Source organism: Homo sapiens, chromosome 20 (assembly GCF_000001405.40).
Source record: "Homo sapiens chromosome 20, GRCh38.p14 Primary Assembly".
Classification (NCBI taxonomy): Eukaryota; Metazoa; Chordata; class Mammalia; order Primates; family Hominidae; genus Homo; species Homo sapiens.
Window position 1 is genome coordinate 48,390,083 of NC_000020.11, and position 11,327 is coordinate 48,401,409.

Consider the following 11,327-nt stretch of genomic DNA (forward strand, 5'->3'; position numbering starts at 1 on the left):
GAGAGGTCGCTTCCCTTCGCTGAACCAATCCTCTCATTTCAAGGATTGTTGGGAAAGCTCAAAGTCAATATATCTTAAGACCTTGCTTCTCAATGTATAGTCTGTAAACCAGCAGCCTCTTCATCACCTAGAGGCTTATCAAAAATGCAGAGTTTGGGATTCCATCCAAATCCTACCGAATGGGAATTCGAGTTTAGCAAGACCCCCAGGTGGTTTGTGAGCAAATTAAAGTGTGAGAAGCACTGCCTTAAAGCACTTTGCATGTTGCTAGGTGAATGGCAGGGACTCAACATAGTCTGGCTATTGGTATAGGTTCTTATTGTGTGTGACAGCTAATTTTGGGTCAACTTGACTGAGCCAGGGGATGCCCAGATATCTGATTAAACATTATTTCTGGGTATGTTTGTGAGGATTTTTCTGAGAGAAATTAGCATTTGAATTAGTAGACTGAGCATAGAGGCAGAACCTCCCCACTGTGGGGGAGCAACATTCAACCCACTGAGGATGACTGAATAGAACGAAAGGGCTTAGAAAGGTTGAATTCTGGCTGGGTGCAGGGGCTCATGCTTGTAATTCCAGGACTTTGGGAGTCCAAGGCAGGAAGATCACTTGAGGCCAGGACTATGAGAACAGCCTGGGCAACATAGGGAGACCCCATCTCTACAAAAAATAAACTTAAAAAACAAATCAGCGAAGTATGGTGGTGCACACATACAGTCTCAGCTGCTTGGGAGGCTGAAGTGGGAGGATCACTTGAGCCCAGAAATTTGAGACTACATTGAGCTATGATCACACCACTACACTCCAGCCTGGGCAAAAGAGCAAGACCCCATCTCTAAACAAGAAAGAAAGAAAAGGGAGAGAGGAGGGAAGTAAAAGAAGGAAGGAAGGAAAGAAGGAAGGAAGGGGAAGGAGGGAGGGAAGGAAGGAAGAGAAGGAGGGGGTAGGGGAGAGGAGGGGAAGGAGGAAGGAAGGAAGTGGAAGGAGGGAGGGAAGGAAGGAAGGAAGGGAAGGAGGGGGCAGGGAAGAGGAGGGGAAGGAGGAAAGGAGTGAGGGGAGGGAGAGAAGGAAGGAAGGAAGGAAGGAAGGGAGGGAGGGACTGGATTATCTCTGCCTCTCTGCCTGACTGCTTGAGCTGAAATGAGTCTCTGACCTTCAGACTTGAACTGCCATCTACCAAATCACTGGCTTTCCTAGGTCCCTAGCTTGCAAATGAGAGATCATAGGACTTCTCAGTCTCCATAACTGTGCAAGCCAGTTTTTAATTTTATGTATATTAATCTCCTATTGGTTACTTCTCCTTTAAAATATTTTTGTGCAGTCTTACAGTTTTCATAGACGTTCACACTACACATTCAACATGGAGTTATTTTTAATTGTCTCCATAACAGTCCGCTGAGCAGTTATATTACCAAAACATCAGGGTTTGGACTAGGTCCTGCTGCTCATCACACAGAAAGCCAAGCACTGAGATGAAAAGTATTGCCAAGGAAGAAGGCTTTAATCAGCTGGGGCCCCCAAGGAGGTGGGAGCTTATCCTCAAATCCATCTCCCTAACTGACTAAAATCAGGTGTTTTTATAGCAGGCAAGAAATGTAACAATGTGCAAGAAAACAGGAACTTGGAAGGGGCAAGAAAGCAATCATGGTGGATGAGGGGTCCTGCAGTGATCTGGTTTCAGTCCTTTGGAACTTTTTGTGAGAGGCCTAAAGGTCATTTCCTGAGGAAAGAACTCAGATGAAACAAACATAAGTTTCAAGCTTTTTAAGACCAGAGGGCCAATGTCTATGTGTATCAAAAAGAACTGTCTATGGGGCAATTGGGTTGGTTTCAGTTATACCATACTTTATTCTCCTATTCCCTATCTTGATTGTTTCCAGAATTTTGCTACTAGAAAATAGCATGTGAGTGAGCATCCTTCTAAATACAGCTCTCCTTCTGAAGGGAAAAACAAATGAAAGACAAACAAGCAAACAACAGGAAAAAAAGGAGAGAAAAAGGAAAAAAAAATCATGTATCCATCCCTTTGGGGGTTGAATGTCTTCTTTAATCAGGGGTTTATACAGCAGGGAATAAATGTAACCATGTGTGGGAAAACAGGAATTAGGGAAGAAGAGTTGGTCAACAAGAGGCAGGTGGTCAGCAGTCGTGATGGGTGAGGGATCTGGTGTCTCTCATTGTCCAGATACAGTGATCTGGTGAGTTTCAGTTTCTTGATGCTATGTGGGAGGACTGATGGCTGCTTTCTTGAGAAAGGAACTCAGATAAGACAAATGTAACTTTCTCAAGTTGAGACTGGGAGGGTCAATTTCTATGTTTACTCAAAAGAAACCATAAACATCAGTTCTATGGGACAATTGGGCTGGTTTTCGGGACAATTACCCCACCAAGTACAGGCGCAAAGCTGCAGGGAACACAGGATGCAACCGGAGGAGGGACTGGTCTCACCTCCATGGCTCTGATGCCTCATTATCACCTCCAAGCAGGAGCCCTGCTAGGCCTCTCCCACAGCCATAGGAGGCCCTGGAGAGCCCTGGTCTTAGTGCCCCTCACCATTCTCTGTCCCTGGTCACCAAGGACTGGCCAAGACCAAGTGGACTGCACCCTCTGCCACCCCCACGCAGGTGCCTGCTGCCCTGAGCTGCTTCCCTGATGGGCAGCCATGGGGCTTCCCCCTCTTCAGAGCCACTGCAGACAAAAGCTCTCACTGCCCAGAGCATGTGTTCTAGAACTCAAACAAGTAAATGACTGAGAAACTGAGTATGTGCAGGGGTGGCTGGGTTGTGGGACAAGGCAGGCAGGGAGGGGATGGAGGATGGGAAGGGCACTTGGGCTCGGGGAGTGGGAGGGGTCAAAGGTCTCAGGGAGAGTGGGGGATCCTCATGCCTCAGAGCTGGGGAAGACCGTAGTGGGGATGAGGGAGGACTTGGGTCCTGGGCCTCCTTGGCTGCCTGGGGATAAAGGGGAGATGGGAACAGCCGGCCAGTTCCCAGGGAAGCAATGGTAGGGCTGCGGCTATGAGCAAACCAGGGAACTGGGTCTTGCAGCGGCGCAGAGCTCTGGCATCTCTTCCGTCCCGTCCCTGGGCCAGGCCTAGAGGAGACTGGTCCGTAGCATGGTCCATGGTGTTGCTGCCCCTGTGGAGTTTCAGGAGCCCCAAGGGCTGCCCAGGGGCCAAAGCATCTCCTGTGACCTGCCCCCACCCAGCAAAGGGAGAACCTGGGATCCCCCTCTTCTGAAACAGTCTTTCCAGAGGCAGCTGCAGCTTCTCATCTCACAGAGGCAGCATCACTCAGAACCCCCAGAAAGGCCACTGATTAAATGCCACGGAGGAGAGTGGTGATGGGGTCTGTGGACGGCAGCTCAGAGCCAGAGACAGGACCGGGTGATGGATGGCCCCAGGCCCCGCCGCTCCCTGCCCAGTGCGTATTCTGGGTACAAGGGTAATTAAGAGAAGTGTTTCTTTTTTACAGCCAGGTGCCTTTCCCTCAGGTGCTGAGGTGGTTAGAGATTAAAACATCATGAACAGAATATGGAGTCACAGAGAAAGAGCAGCCAATGAGCCCAGCTTCCAGGAGGGTCACGGGAGGAGGTAGAGCCGCACCGTAGGTTACACAATGGCCACCCAGAGACACAAGTCCTCATCCTTGCAACCTGTACATGCAACCTTGCTTGTCAAAAGGGTTTGCAGATGTCATGAAGTTAAGGACTTTGACATGGAAGGATTGCGCTAGATCACCCAGGTGGCCCCTAAATGCTATCGCAAGAGTCCTTATGGGAAACAGGCAGAGGGAGATGACACAGACGCACAGAGGAGGAAGGGGCAGAGACTGGAGCGATGCAGTCACAAGCCCGAGAAGTGGGAGGAGGTGAGGGACCGAGTCGCCTGGGGAGCCCCTGGAGGGAACACAGCCCTGGGATTTTGGACTTCTGGCCTCCAGAACTGTGGGAGAACGAATTTCTATTGTTTTAAGGCACCAACTGAGTGGGAACTTGTTCTAGCAGCCCTAGGAAGCTGATGCAAGAGTGGGGAGAAGAAGCTGCCTTTATTCAGCCTAACTCACGGACAAAGCGGGAACAGAAATCCCACACATCATTTCCTTGTTGCTGAGGAACGGCTTTGCTGCCCAGAGCCCTTGGTGACTTACAACTCCTCGAGGTGGACTGATGGGCAGAGAAGGCTACTGAGACAGAGAAAAAACATAAAACAAAACAGGGATTTGTCAAGGCCCTTTGGTATTTAACCACAAAAGAGATATAAACAGCCAAGGGCCTAGATTCACTTTGAAGGCTCAGTAAGTGGGCCTTCAGCTAAGACAGGCTTCTGTCCATCAATCCATCCTTCATTTGCTGAGCAGGTATTGTGCCAGGCACTTTTCTAGGTCCTAGAATACAGCTCTGACCAGGACAGACCTGGCCCGGGCCCTCAGAGGGTGAGTGTTCTGGTAAAGGAGGCACAATAAACAAGGAAATAAAAAACAAGATTGAAGAGGGTGAAACTGCTCTACAGGAAACAAACTGGGAATTGAAAGAGCAAAGGGAAGAAAGGCCACATTGGATGGGGAGGTGAGGACGGCCTCTCTGAAGAGGTGAGCTTTGAGCTCAAGCTGAGCACTGAGAAGATTCCAGCCCAGTAACAGCTATCAGGAGATCACGCCAGGTCAAGGACACAGCAGGTGCCAAGGCCTGGAGGCAGGACTGGGCTGGACAAGTCCAGGGAACAGAGAGGATGCCAGGACTGAGGACGTAGGGAGAGCAGGTTGCAGGGATGCAGAAAGCGGTGCGGGGTGTGGATCAGGCAGAGCCTCCTGGGACAGGGTAAGCTCTTCTGGGGTTCACGGGAGCAGTGGGAGGTGATTGGAGTTTATATGGTGGGGGTGCAGCACAGCTGGTGCACATGTCTGGACAGCCACTGACTGGCTGCTGGGAGGGAATGGAGGATTAGGGCAAGAGTGGAAACCGTGGGTCCAGGCTGAATCCAGACCTACAAGATGCGAGACCTTGTGCAAATGCGTCTTTCCTGAGCCTCAGGTCCTCGTCTGTGAATGAGGGAATCATGAGCCATCCTGAGGCTGATCTGAGGATGTAACAAGAAGGCGCCCAAGGCAGAGCCCAGCACACAGGGTCAGTGTCTTTCCATAACAATAATGAGTGAACCTTGACCTTCCTAGTCTCACACCTGTGACCCAGGAGATAACTCAGGCCAAAATAACGCGCCCTCGGGTTGCCCCATGGGTGTGCTTGTGTAGACCTGGCCCCTTCATCGGTTCGGCGTTCATTCTGTCTAGACTGTTAGGGTTTCTTCACATACTGAGAACACGGTCCTGGTATCGGGACCGCAGGTTCTAATTCACATCTCACCTGGGAATGGCAGGGCAGTTCATTAAAGTGACTCAACCTAGAGCAGAGCTGTTAGGGAATGAGGTGGTAAGGCTTAAGAGCAAACACTTGCCTTGCTAGTTCAGCAAGAATCCAGGAAATCTTCTTGAAGCACATATTTTCCCTTGCTCAGAGTTTTCAAACCCCAGGCTGGGTTTAATGGTGTGGGATATAATGGGGTTTCTCTTTAAATACTCTGATCAATCTTTTATCCTTTAATTCATAGTACTCCCTCCCCCACCTTTTCTTCTTTTTCCTTTTTGCCTTTGTTTGTTAGATGCCCAGGCACGCCTCAGTACCAAGCGTTATCAGTACCAGCTCACATTCCTTTCCTTACACGGAAAGGGGACTAACTTTCTAGCTCATTACAGACACCCCCTTCCCCTTTCTCTCCACTTTCTTTTACATACCCACCCTATCTAAAAAAAAAATCAAATGTTTAGCCAACCGGGATTAGTTTAGATTGTACAACCCGACCCCAGCCAATGGGGAAAGGGTACAGGGGCAGGACTTGCCTCAGGAATAAAGGCTCTCGTGCCATTTGTTCAGATGTGTTCTCATGGCAACTGGCCAAGGAGGCACTCCTCTGCGCAGAAGTAAAATTGCTTTGCTAAGAATCTTTTGTTCAAGTGTTCAATTTCCTTAGGATTTTGAGCGTTGTTCCTAACAACGGAAACCATGATCTCTTCCCCAAGATTGCTCAGAGGTATCCACTTGTCCTTCCAGGTAGAGGGAATAAAATGGGCCACCATGAGGCAGCAGGCAGACAAATTCAGACAAATTCCAGGTTGGCTGAAGCATTCAAAGCTAAATCCAGAATTCACGAACCTTATTCCGCACCAACCATCTGATTGCTTCAAGATTCTTTGAACAGCTGGCTGCCAGGGATTCTGGGTAAGTGTAGCACCCCAGAGGCAACTGCTCCTGGGAATTCAACAAGCAGCGACATGAAAAGTAAAATGAGGGAGAAGGGATCACTGTCAACCAAAGAGACACTAGAGACTTAACAACCAGATGCCATGTGGCCCTTGTTGAATCTTGATTGACAAAAAGCAACAGGAAAAAGACATTTGGGAGACAACTGGAGAAATTCGAACATGGACTGAATGTTAGACAATTATGGGGAATTATTTTTAATTTTGTTGGAGGTGATAAAGATATTGCAGCTATGTTAGAAAACATCCACGTGAGGTCTGGGGTTTGCCTTAAAATAAGTTGGCAGGAAGAAGGGAGAGAGCTCGAAGGAAGGAGCAAACCCTGATAACTGTGAGCCTGTGTGATGGGTGTATGGTGGTTCACAATGTTCTTCCGGTTGAGATATCCAGAGTAATTCTTTAATTGTATTCAGTTTATTTTTCAAGATTGCAATTTCTTTGAGAAAGTGTTGCTGAATATTGCAAAAGGTAGCCCGGGGATTGCCATTGTGTCTTTTTTGCTACTGCCCATGTAGCCAGGTATGAACAGGGCATTTCGCATGGGCATGAGGCGGGGACTGTAAAATATTACTACCTGTTCAGGAGACATGGCTCCCTGCAACCCCCGGCCAAGTCCTGGATGCCAGGACGGGATTTCATGTGCACGCCATCTGAAGCTACCAGCTTGCTCACTACACAAGTCGACAGACTGATGTGACTGTATGCAGCGCTGAGCACAACAGCCGGGGCCTGTCACCCAGCTCACCAGCAGAGAGCCAGGGGTGTTTTCAAGCAGAAATAATGGGCCACTGTGGCTTTTTAAAGAGATATGATTTATCTCTGGGACCGCATCCAGGCTAGAGCTGCTGGAGGACAATGACAGGCTCCTGGGCCAGCGAGGAGGCTTTCACACCTTGGCTTGTCTGCAGACGGAGGACAGCTGGGGCTTCGCAGGCTGAGGCACCCAGGGGTTGTGGTGATCAGCAGGGGGCACAGAGAAGCAGCCAACTCTGCACCCTGAGGAGGGTGGAGATTTGGAGAATTTCTGTTGGATTTGAACCACACGACGGTTCCTTGGAGGAACCGGGAGTCCAGGTGGAATCTTTGCAGGCAGGGTCATGTGGTTTGGCCGCCTTCATTACTCAAAAGCAGGAATCTGTGTTTGGGAAGATGTGAATTACGTACTTTTGATTGAAAACAGCTGCACACCCACAAATCCCTTTAGCCAGTTAATTGGACCATGACAGGCACTCCAGATGTCTACCCACATGCCCTTTTCTTACCAACAAGACCCTGATGATCACGCGCTCCCTGGATGGTGCCCAGCTCTCTGGCTGCTCATCCTTGTGTGACACAGCTCTAGCCAGTGGTGGGGGGGTGCGGGAAGGAGGGGGTTGCAGAACAGGCGGCTACTAGGGATTCTGGGTAAGTGTGGCCTTCTATTTAAGCCCCTTCCTCCTCTCACCTCCTCCTTTCTCCTCTCCTGGCTGAAGGCAGACAGGAGGCCAAGAGCGGCAGCACCAGCAGCCACAGGAGGCCTCAAGGTGAAGGCACCAGCTGAGGATGGTGGCAGAAAGGCAGAAGAAGCCAGGCTCTGGGCGATATCCTGCGGCCCCAGACTTCCCCTGGACCCTCTGCCCCTGGACCTGAGAATCTGGAATAAGGCAACGTCCCCCCGGAGATGCCACCATGCCTGGGCTTCTGTTGCTTTGAGCTGAGCACAGCCCTGGGTGATGGAGAGAGACAGTAGTGGTCACCCTACCCAGCAACCACCTGCACAGGTATACATTCCAGGTCGGCTGAAGCACTCAAAGCTAAATCCAGAATTCACAAGCCTTCTTCCACACCAACCATCCTATTCCTTCAAGATTCTTTGGACATGTGGCTGGGAATCACCGGGGACCCATCCCCTTCCACCCAGGAATCTGTCTGCCTCCTGCTGCCTTTCATGGCACCCGGGCTAGGCCCAGACTTTGCTTCAAGAATGAAGCTGGCACCCATAGTAGGGAGAAGCCAGGCAGCAGGAGCAGGCACTTCCGAGCCTGCGATGGCAGGAGGGCCTCCCTGGGTCCCCAAGAGTGCAGGGATGCCCGAGTCTGCAGCCAGGGTTTGGGTGACTGCAGCTGTACCTGGAGGGGGCTGGGGGGCGGGTTGCAGGTGGTGAGGCTCCTGCCTGCTGCATGGAGCAGGAGGCCCGGGTCTGCAGCGACAGTTTGGGCAGCTGCAGCTGCACCTGGAAAGGCAGGGCTCCTGCCTGCTCCCAGCCCCCAAAGAGCACAGGGAGGCTCAGATCTGCAGCCATGACTTGGGCTGGTGCAACCCCTCACAGGAGGGTGGGGCTCCTGCGCGCTCTGTGGAGTGGGAAGCCCAGGCCTGCAGCCGTGGTATGAATGGCTGCAGCGGCACCTGGGGAGCTCCTGCCCCAGCTTGGAAGGGGCAGGGCTCCCACTTGTCCCCAGCTCCTGTCAACTCCATGGAGCGGTCAACCCCGGCTGCACCTCCCTGCTACAGCTGGTGTGATGGCAGTGGCAGGCCATCTGGAGAGGCTGCTGCCATCAGTTGAGGCTGAAACTTCATCGGCCCCTTGGGAAACCTCCAGCCTCCCAGAAACCAAGAGAACATTTCTGCCTGCTGAGTTTCCCACCACGACCATCCTCTGTGGGCCTTTCCCACCTCCACGTGGGGCCATTTCCTTCAGCCTAATTCACTGGGCTGTCAGGGAACTGCAGCTGGAGTTGGCTTTGCTCACTTCTGGCCAGGAGAACACATTCTGGTCTGTTTTAACACCTAAATGACACACGTATGCCCTGCGTAATGCAGAAATGGAAAGTTCCTATTTGCAGAGGGAATCGTAGGCATCTTTGTGAGCTTTTGTTCAAAGTAAACAAACCTCCAGCAGGAGCTCCTTGCTGGGAGGTCAGACTCTGTTGCTGCAGCTGCTTTGAGGGCCCCCAAGCAAGAAGGAATTCTCCTAGCAGATGACCTTTGAACTCAACAGCAACTCTGCCCTGGGTCTCCAGCCTGCTGGCCTAACCTGCAGATTTTGGACTTACCGAGCCTCTACAATCATGTGAGCCAATTCCTTAAATTTCTCTCTCTCTCTCCACGTGCACACACACACACACACACGCATGCATATATATATACATTTCCCTTTAGTTCTGTTTCTCTGAAGAACATTGATTAATAAATACACTCACTTTCAGTATGGACATAATCACATGTGCCCTGCATAGGTTTTGGAGCTGATGTCACAAGAACAAAATTATATATATGTGCTTTGTTAGTAGTCATATTAATCATTATTACTCTAACCTTGGATTAAATATTAATTTGATAATTAGTACTCTGATCTCACATTTTCCTGCCAGCTTTATCAATTATTGACACAGGACTGGGTTCACATCAGAGGACCCCAAATCCTTCAGAGACATCAGGGTTAAGGTCTCAAGAGGAAGCAGAGTTCACCCCCTATGGTTCAAATCAGATATGAATGAAGGGACCCTTTGCAGAGGGGCAGTCAGGGCTAAAGAATGAATTGGGAAGTTGAGGCACACAGAGATTAGCAGCAGTCAGAAGCTGTTACCATCCCCGGGGAGGATGGGACAAGGAGAAGAAGCAGCCACCCACCTGACCAATCATCAGGGAAGGACAGAGGGACCCTGAGAGACAGGATGCTGAAGCAGGGGGCCAGGAAAGAAAGAGCGCCCCCCCTTTGTTGCTCCTCTGCCCCCTCTCCTCCTGCTGGTGTCTCCCATTGACTGAAACTGACCCAAAGCCACAGGCCGAGGGAGCCTGGCAGGGGCCTGCAGGACAGACCCTGGGCACAGAGCAGGCAGAGCTGAGGATGGCTGTCAGGGGTGAGAGGTGCCGGGAGGGGAGCATGACTGCCCAGTGCAGGGCCGGGAAGGCCACTCCAGAATGAGCCAGCAGGAGGAACATCGACCGTGGGTCCCCAAGGGAAGGGCCTCCCTCGAGGTCTGGAGGAGTGACCGACTCTGCTAGGGAGCTGCACCAGTAATCAGGAAAAATGATGTCCTACCTCAGCTTCCCTTTGCTTTTTCCAGACAGCCTGAAAGGCTGCAGAGACGGGAGGAGGTGTTCAAACAGGCATGGCCAGGTGAGCCAGCAGACAGTTCCCCTCTGTGGCTGCTCTGGCAACACCTGGGGGTGGCCTCAAAGCAGCCTCGGGCTCTGAACCCCTAGCCTTGCTCCAAGACCAGCTCAGGGAGACCAGAGAGCAAGGAACATGCAGCACAGAGCAGGTCGCAGAAGCAGCACCAAGCAAGCCCAGCTGCAGGTCACCCGGGAGCCTCCGGTCCCCATCCCACGTGGCCTGGCCTGCTTGCTCCTCACTCTCACCAACTCTTCCCTTTCTCTGAGGAGGAGGAACCTGGGCCTTGGGCTCAGAAGGCGGGCCCTGCACTTCCCTCTGAGCATTCCCATCTCTGGCAAAATCGCCCATTACATGCAGAGGTATTGCTAATGGGCCTCCTAGTCCCACAGGGCATCACCTCTGAGCCTCTGCCAGGAGGCCGGGCACCGCCTGGCATCCCTGAGGGCCCTTCCAGGTGCTTATCGCTTCCCTCCTGCGTGGGAGTGAACAGGACCCACAGCCTCTGCCCCAGCCACTTTAACAATGAGATCGCACAGTCCTGGGAAGCGCTGAGACCTGGTCTGAGACGATCAGATGCTCCGTGAATTTCTCGTCACCCTCTCCGTCACCCCCTGCTATGCGCCCCTGTTGTCATCCTGCAGACCCCAGAACATGCAAGGAGGATCTTTCCACACAAAAGTCATTTCTGCGTACAGTTTACCTGCTGTTCTGTCACTCGTTGGGAGAAAGACTGTCAGAGCCTAACAGCTCTTTAAGGCCAGCATATTTATGTCAAAACCAATCCTGAAGCCCCAGGTCAAATTCACAGTCAAATGGAAAAAGTGGGAAGAAAGAGTTTTAGCACCTATCACAGACCTCCCAGGAGCCACGTTCTGTGCTCGAGGCTTCGCTGACATTAAGTTGAATCAAATGAAATT

General features: G+C 51.4%; 1 long non-coding RNA gene across 4 annotated transcripts; it reads left to right on the top strand.

Annotated features, from left to right (window-relative positions):
- The first annotated feature begins 4,098 nt into the window (after positions 1 to 4,098).
- Positions 4,099 to 9,881, top strand: LOC105372643 (uncharacterized). Of its 4 annotated transcripts, none has more exons than XR_007067636.1 (4): positions 4,099 to 4,818; positions 5,032 to 5,124; positions 6,106 to 6,273; positions 7,787 to 9,881. It is a non-coding gene; the product is annotated as an uncharacterized LOC105372643 (long non-coding RNA). The 4 variants fall into 4 exon arrangements; XR_007067635.1 differs by having other exon boundaries at positions 7,791 to 9,881; XR_936812.3 differs by having other exon boundaries at positions 4,099 to 5,124.
- The last annotated feature ends 1,446 nt before the right edge of the window (positions 9,882 to 11,327 follow it).